General features: G+C 34.9%; 1 protein-coding gene and 1 long non-coding RNA gene across 19 annotated transcripts in view; one reads left to right on the top strand and one right to left on the bottom strand.

Moving 5' to 3' along the window:
- MLIP (muscular LMNA interacting protein) overlaps positions 1-23,780 on the bottom strand; it is a 247,311-nt gene that overhangs the window by 70,101 nt on the left and 153,430 nt on the right. For all 18 annotated transcript variants that reach the window (XM_047419509.1, NM_138569.3, XM_024446579.2 and 15 more), the window contains one exon: positions 6,266-6,310. In XM_047419509.1, coding sequence (XP_047275465.1) covers positions 6,266-6,310 — 45 coding nt within the window. The remainder of the gene's footprint in view (positions 1-6,265; positions 6,311-23,780) is intronic.
- On the top strand, positions 4,568-6,379 carry LOC124901335 (uncharacterized). The gene is made up of 2 exons (XR_007059622.1): positions 4,568-4,651; positions 6,207-6,379. It is a non-coding gene; the product is annotated as an uncharacterized LOC124901335 (long non-coding RNA).

Here is a 23,780-nt window from a genome sequence, read left to right as displayed (position 1 = left end):
AAGGTGCTGATTGACTCCTTGAGGTCTTCCATTATTTTTCTTGAATTGGCTTTTTGATCACAATATAATTCACAAAGAGGGAACTTTGAGGGATAGAAGAGCCATATGGCATTTTTCCAATAGAGGATGAGAAGAAGGAAAGTGGGTTGGTGAGTTTCACCCTCAGAAGAAAGAGTAGAAAGCCAAAGTTCTCATCTTCAGAAAGTCAAGGAAAGAGGCCACTTCTTTAGGGACTTTACACGATTTTAATCTTCTTCATTTAAAATAAATTGTTGTTTTTCTCCCTCTGTTCATGGTGATATGCAATAAAACTCTTAATACCAAAACACAATGATGTCATCTTTTTTAGAGAATTCAAGAGTGGAGAGTGGGGAGGAGAAGAGGATATTATATCTGATGCTAACATTAGTCTTGGGGACAGAAAAAAATCCAAGGGAGTGAATATATGGGCTCCCCGAAGCCCAGTGGCAGGTTTTAATGGGCTATAAGACACTCGTCTAAGCCTGCTATTGATTTGTGTTTATAATCTATCAGGTATACACTCATACTTGAACATTGTCACTTTGGGCACTATGTAAATAGATACTATTTCCATCCTTTGGAACTTATAATTCTATGACAGCAAGTTGGTACAGCCTCTGAGCTAGAGACCAAAGTTGGAGATTAACTACCAGCGCTGACCTAGAGAATCCATGACCAATATTTTTAAATAATGGGTTTTTACAGCAAAATCTTTCTTAAACTAGTAACTTCAACTAACACTAATGGACTGATGTTTTTTAATTGCCTTTGACTATAGTAATAAGCTCTCGGGTGGTGTGATAAAGCAAAAAAGAAATAAAGGACAGGGTGCCAGCTTTCAAGAGTTTATTTTAATCTTTCTGGAGAGATAAGATGTGTAACAAAACTGCAAGAAAGTGACAAAACAACATATAGCAAATTCTGTGAGTCTGGCTGGAAATTCTACTAATTTTATGGGCTCAAAGAGTTTGTGAAAGTGCCATGGTTGTTTTTGACCCATTTGCTGCAGTTTTGTCTTCATTCTCCAGTGCTTTTTTCTTTGCCTTTAGAATTTCCATGGCAAAAAAGTTTGTGCAAACTCAATATATTCTACCAGGCAAAATTGTGGGCAAAAGCAATATTCTCTAGATTATTTACCTGATTTACTCATTCAGATAATACAGATTTATAGACCCTAATTCTTGTTTTAAACAAACATTATTATATACTTGAAGCAAATACTCAAGCTATGTTTTCCCCTCAAACAAATATCTTAAATCTCAAAACACTATGGCATAGGGTAAAGCTCCCAATATTGGAAAAAACAAAAGAGATTTTTATACCACTTATTACCACGCAACTATTGACATGGCATTCTAGATATTTAAACTTCAGTTTTTTCATCAGAATAATGGAAATAACAATTCCTGCCATACTAACTCCAAGGTGATTCGAGAACCTAATGAGATAATATGCATGACAAAACTTGATAAAGAAAAAACAGCATAAAATAAATTTGAAAGTAAAACAGAATATATACTTTGCAATTATAAATATGGCATGTTGATTCTAAATGATCTAGACCATTCACAAAAGTACCTACTTGATGTGTTTTTCCAAAAAAAAGTTTTATAATGATTACAATAGTTGTATAAAAATAAAGGCACATAAGACCTCAATAATTATTGGCAGTATCTCATGGCTCAAGAACCATTTCATGAAATATACACAATACAGATTGGCCAGATTGAAATATTTCAATGGTTAAATAAAAGATGATAGCATGACTCAAACCTGAGGAGGCGTACCTGATAAATGCTGTGGCACTTAAGTACGTTATGTCAAGGAAAAACTGGTCAAGGAGAAACTGCCTTTGAGCTTGAAGGAGACATCGGTTCTACATAAAAGCTTTCAGGGCTGCATTTTCTGAACAACAGAGGCCTTAAAAGGGCCCTCAGAAAGATGAGTCATGCACCCACCGCTAAAGCTGGATGCATCAGCTGGCATTCAGAACTAGGAACAAAGTATTTGCAAGTTTAAGCACTCTTCTTAATAGTGTTCCAGTAAATAGCATCTTGCTTTTACCTGTATATAGCCATGTGACTTATTTTTAAAATCTATTGTTTTGTGCTCTTTAGATTAAGTATTCCATCCTGGACAACAGTGAACATTTTGTAACGGCATGAAATTTCAAAAGCAAAAGGCAAATGTCATCTAAACCAGGCTCCCCTACTGCCAAAGAAGACCAGGGTTTAGCTACCTTGGGGTGCCTAACTTGTGTGTTATCTTATGCAGGGAAAAAGACCCCGCTGGCCTTTGTTAATATCTTTGTGATGATTCAGCTCAACAGCTAGGAAAGCTTTGTGAAGGTTTAACGCAGACCCTAGATCTTTCCTTTCCTCTTGCTCCTTTTAATATGCTACAGGAAGCACTATTCACAGCTGTGAAAACTTCAGTACTCTAACTGACCCTACCCAGTCTCCTCTTAGGTAAGTACTCACATTTTCCAGGCAGTGCAAAAACACGAGGCAGAGTCAGACACAGGAGGTACCCAGTGAAAGTAATGCTTCCAGTGAGGCCCTGTTTCCAAACTCCTTAATTACTCTTTTCTTATTTTCCTTGAATTATCTAAAATCAATATTAATGATTCATTTTCCAAAACTACATAAAGCAAGGATGAACACTAATGCTGGTGATCCTAGATAATCTATTTAACTACATAAGCATTTCTTTCTTTTTCTGTAAAAATGGCTGCTCATAATATCTCTTCATCATTCACAGATTTTATGTGCAAAAATAACCTCTCCCTATCCATAGGAGTATACTGACAACTCCACATTTTATGATATGTGAGCCTCACAATAATCCCTTCAGGCTGACAGAGTCGTTATTCCAATCTCCAGTGAATAGGTGGGAATTTCCAATATTTTCATCTCTAATTTCCTTTCCAGTTCTGATCGACTGCAGTGCAGTTTAATAGTAGAAGAGAAGCTAAGATTGGTGAACTAGCTTCACATGAACCTCCAAAACAGTCTCCCAAGCTCCTCTAAATCATTTGGCTTCCAGAGTAAACAACGGAAATATTTTAAGAGTAAGGGTCATGGCTCTATTTCTTCTTTCCTTTTCAATTCTGAATTGGCACACTTGCAATAAAAGCAAGCAAACAGATCAGCCAAGTTAAAAATTTGAAAGCATGAAAAAATGATGTATCGTTAAAAAGTTAAATCTCAAAAGCAATTTGAGAATTGCATTAAGCTTGTGGTACCATAGCACTTTGTCATATATTTTCTGTTCAAAACATTTACTACATTTACCTCCTAAAATAGGAGTCAAATAATTTTAACTATTTAGTTTGTTTTACACAAAACAAATATTTGTTTATATAATTCAACTATAAAGTATCATACATTTCCAATAACTTTGTTTTTATGCGTTATACATCCATACATATTTACTCATATAAACAAAGATGTGTATATATAAACAATCAGAATTACCTCATATGTCATCTATATGTGTATGCATATTATAAACACATACATATATAAAAATATAAATATATATATCAAAGTTTTGTTTATCAAAGACATTCTTATTTACTCATATTATTCAGAACTTAAAGAGTTCGTGATGGCAAATATTGAAAATTCATTCATAAAAATGAAAAAATTATAACTTTATAAATAGTGTTACTTAAGTGTAAAAATATTCTAATTCCTTAGTGAAGTACATGTCCTATAATATGTCTTACATACAATCATTTTCCACTATTTATTTCACTCTCGGGTAGTATTAATATAAACACAGGGCTAACGACATGAAATAGAAACCAAAATTATTGAATAAAATAAACATATCAGTAGAAGAGATTTTTTTTTAATGTGATATGCTTACTTGATAATAATCCCTTCACAAACCTACCTGTATCTCAAGGGCATTTTGAGATTAAAACTTAATTTAAAACTTGGTTAAGAAATGCCTTGAACTCCTTAGAGAAAAGGACTTAAGTAAATGCAGAGAAATTATTATAAAAGTCATTCAAAGCAATGCTTTGTAGTTTTGCCACTAGAGAACACAAACAACAGGATTATTTTATTGGGCAAAAAGTAAGTTTTTTTTATTACATTCACAAAGAGTTGTTTTACTATATCTTATTTTATAAAATCATTATATATATATATACACATATATATATTTGCCACTTTGAAATAATTTCTTAAAGGATTAAACCAAGAACTTACATGTATGTAAAATACACACCTACACATGTATATATAGTCCAACACCTAAAATCTATATTTTATATACTATACTGAGTGAAACTATATATGAGAATGTTTAAAACATTCATTTCCATATATTACTCTAAATAAACAAATATATCATTTTAAATACTAAAATAATTGTAGTAATATTTCCATATCTAAAGTGGGAAGTCATTCAACCTCATTATGTTATTGCAGTGCTTGTTTCCATGGCAACTCCTTCAACTTCACTGTGTTAGTAACCATAGATTCACAGCCCTGGAAGGGCTTGGAAAGTACGCAATAGAATGCTCTCACTTTCAATTAAGAAATTGAAATCCAGACTCCCGGACTTTTGACTTACCCACTGTCAGACCACTAGTTAATGTCAGAGCAGGAAGTATAAGGTGGGTCTTCTGATACTCATCCCAGATTCTTTCAACTATACTATATTGCCCCCCCACACACACACTGTTCTAAACCAATTGACACTAATGCACACACATATTCAAACACATGCCATATACACACTATATGTATAAACACCAGTATACCCAAGTGGATTGATTGAATCAAGCTATTTTAAAAGTCAAACAACACTTTTTATGATTTCTCAGTATTACAAATAAATATATTGTAATTATTTTTATTGGGATAATAATGACAAGATGATTTGTTGGCTGTGGCTATAGGATACCAAAACAATTTCTTTAAAAGGGGATTATCAGTTAATGTTTCAAACTGTTTTACTAGAAATTTCCATCATTTTAGTGAAGATATCTATTATTCAGGAATTTACAATTTTAGACAATAAATAGCCAAAGATATTAAGAAAATCTTTGGCCGGGCGCGATGGCTCACACCTGTAATCCCAGCACTTTGGGAGGTCGAGGCGGGTGGATCACGAGGTCAGGAGATCGAGACCATCCTGGCTTAAATGGTGAAACCCCATCTCTACTAAAAATACAAAAAATTAGCCGGGCTCGGTGGCGGGCGCCTGTAGTCCCAGCTACTCGGGAGGCTGAGGCAGGAGAATGGCGTGAACCCGGGAGGCGGAGCTTGCAGTGAGCCGAGATCGCACCACTGCACTCTAGCCTCGCCGACAGAGCGAGACTCCGTCTCAAAAAAAAAAAAAAAAAGAAAATCTTTGACCAGTAATATCTCGGAAACTTATTTCATGACTTCAATTTGGTAACCACTGTAAGCATAAGAAATACAAAACTCTATAAGATAAAATAATTCTCTCATTTAATCAAATTTTATCTTCAAATAACAGATTTTAGAGTCTGGATCTGTGCTGCCCAATGTAGTCCCCACTGTTGAGCTCTTGTGACTAGGCAGAATTGAGATTTGCTGTAAATGTAAAATATGCAATAGTTCAAAGACTTTTCCCAAAAAAAGTAATGTAAAAATATCTCAATTTTTATACTGCTTATCCATTGAAATGATAATATTTATATAACATTAAATAAAATATTTTATGAAAATTAACATTACCTGTTCCATTTTACTTTTTTAATATGGGTACTAGAAGTTTTAAAATTACATATGTGGCTTACATTTGTCATTCACGTTGTGTTTGTATTGCTCAGCACTGATCTAGACCATTTGCATGCTAATTCTCCTGTGTGACATATCTATTTCTTATTTCCTCAAATCCAAAAACTATCCTACTCAATCATGACCTTCTCCTTAAACTCTTTTTAGATCTCTTCCTTTAAAGAGTGTGCTCTCTTCTCTAAATTCTAATGGCATCTTTCATCTGACCTCACAATCTCTTCTAATGCCTCTACTTGGATGTAAGTTACTAGCAAGTAAGGTCTATGTATAGTTTTACGTATGTTTGTCACCTGCAAAACAACCACCATGGAGCTTTTGGAAAATATCAGTAAAATGTTATTAGACAAGTAAGTGAATAAAAATATATATAGTAAATGTATTCTTTTTTTCACTTTTACTCAGGTAAAGCTCTCTTGAGAGATCAGAATTTGCAGTAGATCTGTGACTTAGAAGATACATACCAGCTGACTCTCAGATACTGTAGAAGATGGTGAGGAGAGATTTGCCTGCAAAACATAAACATGGCATTTATTAGTGAAACTCATAATTTATTAAAATATGTATGTGTTTAAGTATTTTGAAGTTTGTTTATTATTATATGTCCATGATAGGATTTTGAAAAGTATAAAGAAAAGGAAAAATATCCTTATGCCACCAAAGAAATGATTTTTAATATTTTTGGTACATAGCCATAAATATTTTTCCTATGTATTTTTATTCAGCCTACATAATAGTGAATATGATGTTTATATGCTGCTTTTCTTTCTCATTTTCTTAACATAAGCATTATATCATGACATCAAAACTTCTTCAAGGTTACCTAACATTTCATTCTTTGTATTCTTCACATTTTAATCAAACATACCAGCATCGTTGCTATTTCTATTTATTTAAAGCAAATTGAAACAAATAACAGATATTTCTTTAAAGTATTGTTATATAAAAAGAAAAGCATAACAAAGTTTTTATGATTTGAGAATAAAAATGACTTGGTTTTTAGAATTGTTTAAATTAAAGAGCAGATTAATATTGTTTGTCATTGGCTCCTATATTTCAACCCTTTCATCTGGATTTAGTTTCTTTCATTTTTAAAAATGTTATTGTCGTAAGAACATTTAACATGAAATCTGTAATTTGAACATGTTTGTAAGTGCATAATACAGTATTGTTGGCTATAGGTGCAATGTTGTATGGCAAATGTCTAGAATTTATTCATCTTGTTTAACTGAAACTTCATGTTGATTAGTAACTTCCCATTTCCCCCTGCTCCCTAGTTTCCTTCTTACTAAAGTAAAGGTTTTTGTGGTTTTTTCAGGCCTTACTGTCTTGGATGTTGTCTGAAAATGTTTTTATCATGTTCTCATTCTTGAGTGACAGTCCAACTGGACGCAGAATTCCAGGGTAGTAGCATTTCTGTCTTTTGCAGATGCTGTCCCACAGACTCTGGCTTTTGTTGTTGTTGGCATAAATGTTGTAACTTGGAGGATCTTCTGTCTTCAAATTTGATTAACATTTAAAGTTTACCTCCGTGATATTCTGTAATTTCACTATGATGTGCCTTGGTGTAGATTTCTTTTTCTTGTGTTTTGGGGGTCTTGGTATGTTCTTTTATTCTGAGTATGCATATCTTCTGAAAAATCCTACATGACTATCTCTTCAAATGCTGCCTTTCTCCCATTATATCTAAGCTCTAGTTATTGATCTTCTATTAAATATATAGTAATGTGCCACACAATGATGTTTCAGTTGATGATGGACCTCATGTATGACAGGGGTCCCATAAGACTATAGTGGAGCCAAAAATATTCCTGTCACCTAGTAACGTCTTAATTATCTTGACTCTGTGTAGGCCTAAGCTAATGTGTATGTTTGTGTCTTGGTGTTTAACAAAAAAAGCTTAAAGAGTATAATAAATAAAAAATAAAAATTTGAAATAGAAAAAACTTATAGAATAAGAGTGTAAAAAATATTTTTGGACAGCTGTAAAATGCATTTGTGTTTCAAGCTACATGTTCCTACAAAAGAGTCAAAAAGTTTTAAAAATTAAAAAGTTTATAAAATAAAAAACCTACAGTAAGCTAAGGTTAATTTATTGTTGAAGAAAGAAAAACATAAACTTAATGTAGCTAAAAGTCTACAGTAGTGTACAGTAATAACCTTAGTTCTTCACATTCACTCACCACTAACTCATTGATTCACCCAGAGAAACCTCCAGTCCTGCAGGCTCCATTCATGGCAAGTGCACTATACAGATGTACCACTTTTTATCTTTTACACTGTATTTTTACCATGCCTTTTCTATGTTTAGATACATAAATACTATTAGTGGGCTATACCAACTAGGTTAATGTATATACATTTTTTTAATTTGAGACGGAGTCTCCCTCTGTCACCAGGCTGGATTGCAGTGGTGCAATCTCGGCTCACTGCAACCTCTGCCTCCCAGTTTCAAGTGATTCCGCTGGCTCAGCCTCCGGAATACCTGAGAGTACAGGCGCGTGCTGCCACACCTGGCTAATTTTTTGTATTTTTTTAATTAGAGATGGGGTTTCACCATGTTGGCCAGGATGGTCTTGGTATATACACTTTGATGCTCACATAATGATGAAATCACCTAGTGATGTGTTTTTCAGACCATCTCCCTATAGTTAAGCAAAGCATGACTGTATTTTGGGCCTTCTGAAATCCTCTCCCATTTATCTCAAACTCGTTTTTATATTTTTGTCACTTTATACTGTATTCTGGATGGTTTTTGCATATAAGCCTGATAGTTAACTTATTTTTCTTTAACTGCATGTTAGTATGTTTAACATGGCAATTGAAGTTAACGTCTTAATAATTGACTTTTCACTTCTAGAAGTTTTACTTGGTTCTTTTTCAAAGCTTATCTTATAATATCTATAACACGTTATAATGTTTAATGTTTTAAATATATTTATATGGTATTTTTCCAGATTTGTTATAGTCCCCCCTCGTTAAATACCATGTTGCTTGTATTTGCTGATTCTCTGTCATGTCCCTCCCTCATGATGTTCTTTAGTTATTTTGTGTGCTTTTTATTTTCTATTTTGAGTAATTTTGGTAATTTGGATTTCTTTAGATATCCAAGAAGCCCTGGTTTAGAAACCATCCCTGCAGTACATTTGCCCTCATGGGGGCCTTAGGAGTTGCACAGGTTCTGGACCAGTTACCATTTTATTGCCTCATCCTGATTTTCCTAAATCTCTAGATGGCAGATCCCCACATTATCACATAATCCCCACACTGTCATAGGTTTGGAGTCCTGTTTTCTCATGGGTGACTTTTTCTTATCACCCAAGAATGTAGGGTAGGGATTATTTTTTAAATTATCTTTTTTCTTTTTCATGCTTCATGGTCAATATGGCCTTGTAGGTTATAGAATTATGCAATAGATTCCCATATAGGTCTTAAACTTGTTACACAGTGAAAGTTAGAACCTAAGCTCTCGGGTCCTGGCACCTAGGGTCTGATGCACACATGTTCTACAAGAACTTTAGGTTCTTTTTAGTATTCTAACCTTGATATGGTCAGGCTTTGTGTCCCCACCCAAATCGTATCTTGAATTATAATCCACATAATCCCCACATGTTGAGGGCAGGAACTGGTGGGAAGTGATTGGATCATGAGGGCAGTTCCCCCATGCTGATCTCATGATGGAGAGTGAGTTCTCACAAAAGCTGATGGTTTTTATAAGGGGTTGTTTGCTCTTGCCTACACTTCTCTCTCTCGCCACCATGTGAAGAAAGTCCTTGCTTCTCCTTCATTTTCTCCCATGATTATAAGTTTCCTGAGGCTTCCCAAGCCATGCAGAACTGCGACTCAATTAAACCTCTTTTCTTTATAAATTACCCAGTCTCAGACAGTTCTTTATAGCAGTATGAAAATGGGCTAATACAAACTTGGAAGTCCCACTTCATTTATGGCATCCAGGGATTACTTATGTTTTATCGAGCATTTCTGCATTTACATGGGAGGCTAAACTTTCACACCAGCTTAGCCTTCCATTTTGACAGGAACTGGTCAGCATACAGATGAATAATTATAAATATGCTTGGCTAAAATACAATAAGTTATGTTCCTAAAATATTTCTATTTTTGAAATTGCAAATATTTCAGAGCTTATTTTGATGTATCATTATTGTTTTAATCTCTGAGAGATCAACAATAACTGAAAACTGAAAGCCTCATGGTTCCATGTTATCACCAAGTATATAGGAGTATGAATCACCAAACAATGATGAGGCTTTGTGTACAAATGATGAAGTCCTTTGTACACAGTGTCTAACAATGTTTGTTTTCTGGGTTTTGACTCATGTCATTCTTTACAGGTACCACTGCTTGCTGCCATTCCTGGTTGCTTGATGGCAGTAGGGTGTCTTGGCTAAGTGCTCCGCTTCTCTAATTGCTGTGGGCCAGGTTAGTGTGCACTGAGGTTTAGGAAAATTACCCTTCAGAATATCCATCATGGTGTTTTTGTCAGTTCACCTAAGTTTTCATTATTAACCTCATAATGGAATATAGGTAATAATAATGATTTCTTCTAAAATCTTAGGTTTTATACCATTTAACAATTTTTTCTTATTGCAATAATGAAAGCATTCTCTATTGATCCCCTAAGTTAAATGAATAGCTTCTGTGAAATATGCTGAATTAAATGCATCATAACTGAAAAAAAAGGCTAAATTTCTACCTCAATAATTATAGGAAAGAAGTTACATATTAACAATAAAGTTTCACTTTACAATTTGTATTACTAATATTTTTTAGTATATTGTACTAAATAATTCCAAATTATTATCATGGGGAAAAGAGAGAAAAGGCTCAAACATATTAATTAAATTAGGAAAAAATCTAAATATCTTTTTATCCAATCTCTATAAATCCCCCAAATTCCTTCATTGGGAATCATGACATAATAATAAGATGCTTTAGACACCCCCAGACATTTTTATTTCATCCAGTATTATGAACTCCGTATCACTGCTATCAGAAACTTCCCAGAGAAAGTGCAAAATTAAATGTAAACCACAATGTGGAGTGGATATGCATAATACTATTACAGATTTGTCCTTAGCAAAGAGGAAGAATAGTGACTTATATGTTTTATCACTAAAGTAACCAGGTTTTTTCAATGAATCCAATTACATCCAATCCTTTGAGAAGCCACCCTGTGCATGTCTAATACAGGTTAATGCTGTTTATTAGAAGTTATAGCTATAATTATGTCATCAATATTGTAGCAATTATTTTCCAAAATGTGAGGAGATACTGTGTGGTGAACTAAGCAGATGATGGGAAAAGGTTGCTACATTTGAACACCTGCATCACCTGAATAAAGGTGGAGAAGAAACTTGAAGTACCTAAAAATAAATTTGAAATTGGATTTGAACAACATTAAAATTTTGATCATTCATATCGCTCCAGTTTTACACCAACTGGGAAGAGTAACATTTGAGATGAGTATAAGAATGGCTCTTGTGTGAAATAAAAATTCGTAATCCATATTCTACAGCCTTTGACATTGTTTTAATCATATAAGAAAAAATAATGAGAGAAAGAGAGAGATGGGCTTTAGCCATTACTGCATCCTTCAAAAAAAGAAACTTAAAAAACTAATAGAGCAGTCAAAAAATTATGAAGGTAAAAAAAATTTATTTCAAAAAAATAAATTAAATAATTAAGTTATATAGAAACTAAAAGAGTTAAAGACCAAGTAAAGGTAAGGATTTGAAATCCATTGAAAGACAAATTCCTACACAAGGCACCACTTGCCCAAAGCCAGCTTTGGAGAAACCTTTTCATCTCCCAAAGACTTGATGCCAAAGGCAAACAAAGAACAGCCAAGCTCCTTATCCATCATCTAGGTTTTCCATTCCTTGCAATCTGCAGCATTTCACATTCATGACAGGTATCCCTTTGGTCGGCATCACTCTAACAGACACCATCTTGGGGGCCTGGGGCAAAAATCAAGTTGCATTAGATAAAAAGTGTTAAACAGTTGCCTTTTCTTTCTGTACTCTGGTACTCTACTTTTAGCATGCTTTTTTTGCCTTTCAGTAGTCATGTCCCTTCCACCTGAATATAATGTCAGGTTTGATACCGTTAAGATGCTTCTTTTCCCTTTTTCTCTGTTGACTCTAACTGTCCTGAATCTTCCTTTCTCAAAGTTCAAGAGCTCTAATCCATGATAATGTGCTAATTGAATTATGTTATTTCTCCCCCTCAAGACTGATGTACAGCTAAGCAGAAAGACAACACTCAAAATAAGAATTGGGCACTTAGTTATTACTGAGTGCTAAGCTTGGCATTGAGGACATATAAAATTATAAAATGATAAAGACTCTGTCTTACTCTTAACCTGGAGAGTGTTCTTATTGTTTGTACATAAGGCACTGGTCAAAACAATGAATCCATGTTGAAAATGTTAGACGCCAAGGCCATGAGATAAATTATGACACATCATGCCTTCCTTACTTTGAACTGCTTATTCTTACTATCGATGGAACTTACACTGTCTAAGAGTCGGAGGTTGCAGTGAGTCACGATCGCGCCACTGCACTCCAGCCTGGTAACAGAGAGAGACTCTGTCTCAAAAAAAAAAAAAAAAAAAACTTACCCTGTCTAAATATCTCACTAAAGACCATTTCTAAGTTAGTAATACGCCCCTCATAATATCTAATATAAAGAGTAGATATAGAAATTTTTTTAAGTTTGATTCTTTAAGATAGGGAATGATGATTCTAACTTGTCATGAACATAGTTGGTAGACGGAACAAGTGGGCATAGGTGATCAGTAAAAGTCATAGTTTATATGTACAAATAGGGAAATAAAAGATCAGATCAAGCAGAAGTTTGTCTGAAATAAGGCACCTTCCCATTTGATGAAATCTAAAATGGCAAGGAAAAGGATACAAAGCAGAAGGTTTGTCTCATTCAATCTCTTCTCTGCCTCCTCATCTAGCAGAATGCAGAAATATTTCTGAACAAATATAAAATGAAATAAGTAATGATCAGTCTAGTGGAATTTCTTGCTTAAATTGTTGCCAGTTCTTCCTAAAACTCATCAAATCTCTGGCATCATCCTACCTTGAAGCAGATCTGGACCTGATTTGGAGTAATTCACCTCTCGTCCTAAGATCTATGACTGCATTATTGCACATCACCTCTGAAACACTCCAGCATAGCAACGTTTCCAAGCATAACAACAAGAAGAGTGTGTGAGCTGGCGAAATTGGGATGACCTTTATTTGAATATCTGTATATATAGTGGAAAATATTATTAATAAAGTTTGACACATTTTTCAATATACTCTGATATTTTGGAAGGAATATGCTTCCATTGTAATGACATTTTTCTGTCTCTCAAGCTCACTAAAATGAGATCTTACCTGTATGCTATCTAATATTTAATAATTCCATCTCAGATATTTCCTCTGCACTTAAAAGTAATTTATAAAATGTAGAGGATTTATAAAATAAGTTGTTATCAATAGAATGTGATTCCAACTAAGAGTTTTTTGATGCATTAGTAATAGGACCAAATACTACCCTATTTTCAGAGGTTATTCTTTATTAAGAAAGCATACTATGGTTTTGAATTATATAAATGTGATGAATTTATACTGGTAGTTAGTAAAAAATGATAAACATTTAGAAGGGCACATATAATGCAAAGACAAAAAATTCCCTCTACAAAGTTCATAGAATGAAAATAGAATGAAATAGAATGTTAATAGATAATTCATCCCTGAGGGGTGGAGCAAGATGGTAGAATAAAAACTTACAGTGTTCGTACCTCCCGCAGGAACACCACATTTTAGCAACTATCTACACATAGAAAACCACCCTCTCAAGAAGCAAATTAGGTGAGCAATCATAGTACCTAGTTTTAACTTCATATTGCTGAAAGAGGCATTGAAGGGGGTTGGAGAGACAGTCTTGAATTGTTAATGTCACCCTTCCCCCTACTCCCCAGTAGTGACCATGCAGCACAGAGAGTCTGTGCACTTGGGAAAGGAAGAGCACAGCAACTGGGGGACATTACATTGAACTCAGTGCTGCCTTGTAACAGCAGAAAGCAAAACTATGTTGGGCTCAGCCAGTGCCCACAGATGGAGAGAGCATTTGGAGTAGGCCTATACAGAGGGGAACTGCCCATCCCAGCAGCTGGAAGTTGACTCTCTTGGAAAGGCTCACCACCATAGGCAAAAGTGCTCTGGGATTCTAGGCAAACGGAGGAAAGTCTAGGACATAAGGACTGCAATTCCTAGGCAACTCCTAGTACTGCACTGAGCTCAGAGCCAGTAGACTAGGGTGGTACATGACCTAGGGAGACATCAGCTGGCATGGCAAAGGGAGTACTTGTGCTATTTCTTCCCCAACTCCAGACAGTGCTGCTCGCAGCAACAAAAGTGACTCCTTGCTTCTGCTTAAGGAGAGGAGAATGAAGAGTAAAGAGGACTTTGTCTTACATCCTGGAGATCAGCTCATCCACAATTGGATAGAGCACTAGGCAGAGCTATGATGCCCCCATTACAGGCCCTGGCTCATGATGTTTCTAGGCATATCCTGGGCAAAAAGAGAACCCGCTGCCTTGAAGGGAAAGACCAGTCCTGGCAGGACTCATCACTTGCTGACTAAAGAGCCGTTGGGTAGTGAATAACCAGCAATGATACCCACGTAGTACACCATGGGCCTTAGGCTCTGAGATGGGCTGACTTCAGGTATGACCCATCACGTTCTCAGCTGTGGTGGCTATAGTGACAGACTCCTTCTGTCTGAGAAAAGCATAGGGAAAAGTAAAGGGAACTTTGTCTTGCACCTTAGGTACCAGCTTGATCACAGGGAGGTAGAGCAACAAACAGGCTTTTGAGGTCCCTGAATCCAGGCATAGGCTCTTAGACATCATTTCTGGACCAGCCCTGGGCCAGAAGGGAGCCCATTGCCTGAAGGGTGAGTCCCTGGCCTGGAAGTATTTCCCACACGCTGACTAAAGAGCCCTTGGGCTTTTAGTGAACATCAGTGGTGGCCCAGCAGACCACCGCCCCAGCCCATGTGCTGGTGGTGTTGGTGGCCACAGGGAGAGGCTCTTTTGCCTGTGGAAAGGGGAGGGAAGAGCAGAAAGAACTTTGTATTGTGGCTTGAGTGCTAGCTTAGCTTCAGAGAAATAGAACATCAGTTAAATTTCTAAGGTTTTTGACTCTAAACCCTGTCTCCCAGACAACATTTGTGGAACCGCGGAGGGCCTGGGGGAACTTGCCACAGGGGTGCATGCATCTCACCCCCAGTTCCAGGCAGCTCAGTACAGAGAGAGAGACTTCATTTCTCTGAGAGAAAGTAAGGGAAGAAACCAAAAGTCTCTGCCTGATAATTCAAAGACAGGCATAAGCAAGCCCAGACTGTCTAGACTACAAAAAATACCTAACTCTTCAATGTTGAGACACTGACAAACATCCACAAGCATCAAGATCATCCAGAAAAACATAACCGCATAAAACAAACTAAATAAGGCACCAGAAACCAATCATGGAAGAACAGGGATATGTGACCTCTCAGACAGAGAATTCAAAATAGCTGTGTTGAGACTACTCAAAGAAATTCAAGATAACACAGAGAAGGAATTTAGAATTCCATTAGATAAATTTAACAAAGAGATTGAAATAATTAAAACAAAATCAAGCAGAAATACTGGAGCTGCAAAATGCAATTGGCATACTGCAGAATGCATCAGAGTCCTTTAATAGCAAAACTGACCAAGAAGAAGAAAGAATTAATAAGCTCAAAGGCAGGTAATTTGAAAATGTGCAAAGTCAGAGGAGACAAAAAAGAATAAAAAACAATGAAGCACACCTTCCATATTTAGAAAATAGCCTCAAAAGGGCAAATCAAAGAGTTATTGGCCTTGAAGATGAGGTAGAGAAAGAAACAAAGGTAGGAGATAGGAGTAGAAAGTTTGTTCAAAGGTACAATAACAGAAATTTCCCAAACCTAGAGAAAGATATCAATATTCAAGTACAGGAAGGCTATAGAACACCAGGAAGATTTAACCCAAGGAAGATGACCTCAAGGCATTTAATAATCAAGTTCCCAAAAGTAAAGGATAAAGAAAGGATCATAAAAGTAGAAAGAGAAAAGAAACAAATAACACACAATGGAGCTCCAATATGTCTGGCAGCAGACTTTTCAGTGGAAACATTACAGGCCAGGAGATAGTCACATGGCATATTTAAAGTGCTGAAGGAAAAACAAACAAACAACAACAACAAAAAAGTTTACCCAAGAATAGTATATCTGGTGAAAATATCCTCCAAGCATGAAAGAGAAATAAAGACCTTCCCAGAAAACAAAAGCTGAAGGATTTCATTAACATCAGACCTGTCTACAAGAAATGCTAAAGAGGGCTCTTCAATTTGAAAGAAAAGACTGTTAATGAGCAGGAAGAAATCATCAGAAGATACAAAACTCACTGGTAATAGTAGGCACACAGAAAAACACAGAATATTATAACACTGTAATTGTGGTATGTAAACTGCTTTTAAGTAGAAAGACTAAATGATGAACCAGTCAAAAATAATAATTACAACTTTCTAAGACATAGTATAATAAGACATAAAAAAACAACAAAAAGTTAAAAAGCAGGGACATGAAGTTAAAGTGTAGGGTTTTTATTAGTTTTCGTTTTGCATGTTTGTTTATGCAATTAGTGTCAAGTGTTGTCATCAGTTTAAAATAATGAATAAGATAGTATTTACAAGCCTCATGGTAACCTCAAATTAAAAACCATACAACAGATACACAAAAAATAAAAAAGCAAAAAATTAAAGCATACAACCAGAGAAAATCACATTCACGAAAAGAAAGACAGGAAAAAGGAAAAGAAAAAAGAGGATACCACAAAACAACCAGAAAACTAATAACAAAAGGGCAGGGGTAAGTCCCTACTTATCAATAATATCATTCAATGTGTGAGAACTAAGCTGTCCAATCAAAAGTCATAGAGTGGCTGAATGGATGAAAAACAACCCAATCACCTGTTGCCTACAGGAAACACACTTAGCCTATAAACATACTCACAGAGTGAAAATAAAGGGATGGAAAAAAGATATATTCCATGCCTATGAAAACCAAAATAGAGCACAAGTAGCTATACTTAGATCAGACACAATAGATACCAACACAAAAACTGTAAGAAGAGACAAAGAATGTCATTATATAATGATAAAAGGGTCAGTTCAGCAAAAGGCTATAATGATTGCAAACTTACATGCAGCCAACACTGGAGCACCCAGATATATAAAGCAAATACTATTAGAGCTAAAGAGAGACATAGACCTCAATGCAATAATAGCTGGAGACTTCAACACCCCAATTTTAGTATTGGACAGATCTCCCAGACAGAAAATCAACAGAGAAACATCAGACTTAATCTGCACTATAGACCAAATAGACCTAATAGATATTTACAGAACATTTTATCCAACAGCTATACATGCTTCAACACATGCTTCTCCTTAGCACATGGATCATTCTCAAGGATAGACCGTATGTTAGGTCACAAAACAAGTCTTAAAACATTCAAAAAATTAAAATAATATCAAGCATCTTCTCTGACCACCAGGAGATTAAGCTAGAAATCAATAACAACATGAAATTTGGTAACTATACAAACACATGGAAATTAAACAATATGCTCCTGAATGACCAGTGGGTCAATGAAGAAATTAAGAAAGAAATTGAAAGATTTCTTTAAACGAATGATAATGGAAATGCGAAATACCAAAACCTACAGGATATAGCAAAGCAGTAAAATTTATAGCTGTAAGTGCCTACATAAAAAACAAACTTTGAATAACCTAATAAAACACCTTAAACAACTAGAAAGTCAAGAGCAAACCAAACCCAAAATTAGTAGAAGAAAAATAATAAATATCAGAGCAGAAATAAATAAATTTGAAACAAAGAAAGCAATTCAAAAGATCAATGAAACAAAAAGGTGGTTTTTGAAAAGAAAGAAAATTGACAAATCTTTAGGCAGACTAATAAAGAAAAAAAGGGAAGAAACACGAATAAAATCAGAGATGAAAATGAAAACATTACAACTGAAACTACAGAATTTTTTTCCTTATGTACTTTTTTATTATTTTATTTTATTTTAAGTTTCAAGATACATGTGCAGGACATGCAGATTAGTTCCCCATGTAAATGTGTGCTTTGGTGGTTTCTACACCTATCAACCCATCACTTAGGCATTAAGCCCCACATGCATTAGCTGTTTATCCTGACGCTCTCCCTCTCCCTACCCTCCCGAGAGGCCCCAATGTGTGTTGTTCCCCTCCACCCTGCCCGTGTCTATGTGTTCTTATTGTTCAGGTCCCACTTATATGTGAGAATATGTGGTGTTTGGTTTTCTGTTCCTGTATTAGTTTGTTGAGGCTAATGGCTTCCAGCTCCATCCATGTTCCCGCAAAAGACATGATCTTTTTCCTTTATATGGCTACATAGTATTCCATGGTGTATATGTACCACATTTTCTTCATCCAGTCTCTCACTGATGGGCATTTGGGTTGATTCTATCTTTTTGCTATTGTGAATAGTGCTGCAATTAACATACACTTGCATATGTCTTTATAACAGAATGACTTATATTCCTTTGGGTATATACCCAGTAATGGGATTGCTGGGTGAAATGGTATTTCTGGTTCTAGGTCTCTAAGGAATCACCACACTGTCTTCCACAATGGTTGAAGTAATTTACATTCCCACCAACAGTGTAAAAGCATTTCTATTTCTCCACAGCCTCACCAGCATCTGTTGTTTCTTGACTTTTTTAATAATTCCCATTCTGACTGGTGTGAGATGGTATCTCATTGCGGTTTTGATTTGTGTTTCTCTAATGATCTGTGATGTTAAGCTTTTTTTCATGTTTCTTGGCTGCCTAAATGTCTTCTTTTGACAATTGTCTGTTTGTGTCCTTTGTCCACCTTTTAGTGGGGTTGTTTGTTTTTTTCTTTTAAATTTGTTTAAGTTCCTTGTAGATTCTGGATATTAGACCTTTGTCAGATGGATAGATTGTAAAAATTTCTCCCATTCTCTAGGTTGTCTGTTCACTCTGATGATAATTTATTTTGCTGTGCAAAAGCTCGTTAATTAGATCCCATTTGTCAATTTTTGCTTTTGATGAAATTACTTCTGATGTTTTTGTCATGAAATCTTTGCCTGTGCCAGTCCTGAATGGTATTGCCTAGATTTTCTTCTAGGGTTTTTATAGTTAGAGGCTTTACATTTAAGTCTTTAATTCATCTTGAGTTAATTTTTGTATAAGGTGTGAGGAAGGGGTCCAGTTTCAATTTTCTGCTTACGGCTAGCCAATTTTCCCAGCACCTTTTATTAAATAGGGAATATTTTCCCCATTGCTTGTTTTTGTCAGGTTTGTTGAAGATCAGATAGTTGTAGATGTGTGGTCTTATTTCTGAGATCTCTGTTCTGTTCCATTGGTCTATGTGTCTGTTTTTGTACTAGTACCATGCTGTTTTGGTTCCTGTAGCCTTGTAGTATAGTTTGAAGTAGGGTAGCATGATGCCTTCAGCTTTGTTCTTTTTGCTTAGGATTGTCTTGTCTATACAGGCTCTTTTTTGGTTTCATATGAACTTTTACGTTTTTTTTTCTAATTCTGTGAAGAATGTCAATGGTAGTTTAATGGGAATAGCATTGAATCTATAAATTACTTTGGGCAGTATGGCCATTTTCCCAATATTGATTCTTCCTATGCAGGAGCATGGAATAAAACCAAAGAAATTTAAAGGATTATTAGTAGGTACTATGAGCAACTATATGCCAATATGTTGGAAAATCTAGAGGAAATTGATAAATTCCTAGATACATACAACCTATCAAGACTGAACCATGAAGAAATCCAATGCCTGAACAGATCAATAACAACTAATGAAATCAAAGTTGTAATAAAAAGTCTCCCAGTAAAGCAAAGCCCGGGACCCAGTGGCTTCACTGCTGAATTTTATGAAACATTTAAAGAAGAATTAATACCAATTCTACTTAAGCTATTCAAAAAAACAAACAAACAAAGGAGAAGGGAATACTACAAATCTCATTCTATAATGAGACCAGTATTACCCTGATACCAAAGCCAGAAAGATACGTCAAACTAAGAAAACCACAGGCCAATATCTCTGATGAATATTGATGCAAAAATCCTCAACAAAATGCTAGCAAAACAAATTCAACAGTGCATTAAAAAGATCCTTCATCATGATCAAGTAGGATTTATCCCAGGGATGCAATGATGGTTTAACATATGCAAATCAATCAATGTGATATGTCATATTAACAAAATAAATGACAAAAACCATATCATCATTGATGCTGAAAAAGCATTTGATAAAATTCAACATCCCTTCATGATTAAAAAACTCTCAAAAAACTGGGCACAGAAGGAATATATCTAAACATAATAAAAGCCATATATGACAGAGCCACAGCTAGAATCATACAGAATGAGGAAAACCTGAAAGCTTTTCTTTTAAGATCTGGAAGACGACAAGGATGTCCACTGTCACCACTGTTATTCAATACATAACTGGAAGTCAGACAAGAGAAAAAATAAAGGGCACCTAAATTGGAAAGAAAGAAGTCAAATTATCCTTGTTTGCAGATGACATTATCTTATATTTGGAAAAACCTAACTACTCCACCAAAAAACTATTAGAACTGAACAATGAATTCAGTAAAGGTGCAGGATACAAAATCAACATACAAAAATCAGTAGCATTTCTACATACCAATAGTGAACAATCTAAAAAAGAAGTCAAAAGAGTACTATCATGTACATTAATAGCCACAAGTAAAAGCAATAACCTAGGAATTCACTTAACCGAAGAAGTGAAAAATCTCTACAATGAAAACTATAAAATGCTGATGAAAGAAATTGAAGAGGACACACAAAAAATGAAATACATCCCATGTTCTTGGATTTAAAGAATCAATATTGTTATAATGTCCATACTACCCAAAGTACTACAGATTCAAAGCAATTCCTATCAAAATACCAATGACATTCTTCACAAAAATAGAATAAACAATCCTAAAATTTATAGGGAACTACAAAAGACCCAGAATCACCAAAGCTATCCCGAGAAAAAGGAACAAAACTGGAGGAGTCATTATCTGACTCCAAATTCTGCTACAGAGCTATAGTAACCAAAACAACATGGTACTGGCATAAAAACAGACACATAGACCAATGGAACAGAATACAGAACCCAGAAACAAATTTGCTCACTTACAGTGAACTCATTTTTGACAAAGGTGGCAAGAACACACATAAGGAAAAGATAGTCTTTTCAATAAATGATGCTGGGGAAGCTGGGTGTCCATATGCAAAAGAATAAAACTAGACCCCCTATATCTTGCCATATGTAAAAATCAAATCAGAATGAATTAAATACTTAAACCTAAGACCTCAAACTATGAGACTGCTACAAGAGAACATCAGAAAAACTTTCCAGGACATTCTTCTGGGCAAAAATTTCTCCAGTAATACCCCACAAGCACCGGCAATCAAAGCAAAAATGGACAAATGGGATCACATCATGTTAAAAAGCTTCTACCCAGCAAAGGAAACAATCAATAAAGTGAAGGGATAATCCACAGAATGGGAAAAAATATTTGCAAACTACCCATCTGAGAAGGGATTAATAACCAGAATATATAAGGAGCTCAAACAGCTCTATCATAAAGTATTATAATTGTAGTTTAAAATCGGCAAAAGATTTCAATAGATATTTCTCAAAAGGAAACATCCAAATGGCAAACAAGCATATGAAAAGATGCTCAACATCATTGATCATCAGATAAATGCTAATCAAAACTACAATGAGATATTATCTCACCCCAGTTAAAATGGGTTTAATCCAAAAGACAGGCAATAAGAAAGCTTATGAGCATGTGGAGAAAAGGGAACCCTCATATACTGTTGGTGGGACTGTACACCACCAATTAGTACGACCACTATAAAGAACAACTTGGAAGTTCCTCAGAAAATGAAAAAGAAAGAGCTACCATGTATGATCCAACAATTTCACTGCTGGTCATATACCCAAAAGAAAGAAAATCAGTATATTAAAGAGGTATCTGCACTCACATGTTTGCCACAGCACTGTTCACAATATCTAAGATTTAGAAGCAACCTAAGTGTCCTTCAATAGATGAATGAATAAAGAAAACATGGTACTTATACACAATGGAGTACTATTCAGCCTTTATAAAGAATGAGATCCTGTCATTTGCTACAACATGTATGGAACTGGAGGTCATTATGTTAAATGAAATAAGCCAGGCACAGAAGGACAAACAACACATGTTCTCACTTATTTGTGGGATCCAAAAATCAAAACAATTGAACTCATGGAGATAGAGAGCAGAAGAATGGTTACCAGAGGCTGGGAATGGTGGGGGTTGCTTTGGGGTGGGGAGGTGGGGATGGTTATCGAGTACAAAAAAAATAGAAAGAATTAACAAGATCTGGTATTTGATAGCACAATCAATAATAATTGACTATAGTCAATAATAATTTAATTGTACATTTTAAAATAACTAAAAGAGTATAATCAGATTATTTGTAACATAAAGGATAAAAGCTTGAGGGGACAGATACCCCATTTTCCATGATGTAATTATTATGCATTGCATTCCTATATCAAAATATCTCATGTACCCCATACATACCTACTATGTACCCACAAAATAAAAATATGAAAATTTGCTTAGAAAGGAAATTTATTTACACGAAGGAAATAAAGTTTAAAAATGAGTGTCATAAGAAATAACTCTTATACCTTATCTGATATGAGTTAATGTACATTTAAGCACATGATTTAAAACCCTGGAAACAGCAAATCACTATCATTTTAGATGTTAATATGACCAAATATGAAATTATTCCTTCTAAGTTTAGGCTGAAGGTTATTGGGCATGAAGAAATAATTTGGACCCAGGCTATAAATATGAATGGATAAAATATTTAAAGAATGCAAACTATTTCCAGTATGTACTTATACTTCTACAAGTATGTAGAAGTATCAAATGGCAGAAACTTTGACATGAAGAAAATCTGGGTTGGGTTTTGCCTGCTCTGTGATTTCTGAGGCTTGTTTTCCCACTCTGTATAATGGAGATTTTAAAATAAGAATACCCACCTCATAGCTTTGATATATGGTTTAAATGAGATAGCCAAGCTTTATTTTCAAGGTAAGAGCTCAAAATATTAGTTATTATTATTGTTGAATTCAGCATCTTTTTAAAAGAATCAAATGAAATATTAATGATAAATTAACCAACCCTGCTAGTGACCTAAGGCTCACTCCCTATTCAACATATTGTTAGCCTAGTTTCAATTCTATTACACTTAAAAGAATCTCAATTAAATTATTGTAAAATAGCCTGCATTTTAAGAAGACCACGGACTGGAGAAAACCTTTACTTTAATTAGTCTGAATTAGTGTTGCTTTTACTGCACCTGGCTCATCCTAAAAAACAGACTGTATGAAATGTCACAATACGTGCAATAAAGACCCAAAGAAAGAAACATTATTTTGAGTTGATTTTCTTTGTTTATTTTTTTCTTTTTTTTTTTCCAGAGAAGTCAGTCTTTCAACAAAGGCCTATAAAGTGGAATTAGCCATACACTTTCTTGTTATTTTATTAAACCATTATAATTATCCCAGGAAAACTGGAAAACCTATGAATACACAGAAAACTAGCAAATTTGTAAGTTGGTTTTAACATCAATGGGTTCTCTGGCTACCTCCTCTCTATTTCTACAATAAAGTGTCTTTCTCATTTACTATTTTAACTGTTTACTATCTGTCTTATCATTGGAATACATGCTTCAGAAATTGGCATACTGTCATTGTGTTCACTCTTCGCACCCCAGTGACTCCT

The sequence above is a fragment of the Homo sapiens genome, chromosome 6 (assembly GCF_000001405.40).
Source record: "Homo sapiens chromosome 6, GRCh38.p14 Primary Assembly".
In the NCBI taxonomy this organism is placed as follows: Eukaryota; Metazoa; Chordata; class Mammalia; order Primates; family Hominidae; genus Homo; species Homo sapiens.
Note: the sequence above shows the minus strand (reverse complement) of the source record. Positions and strands in the feature narration are given on the sequence as shown.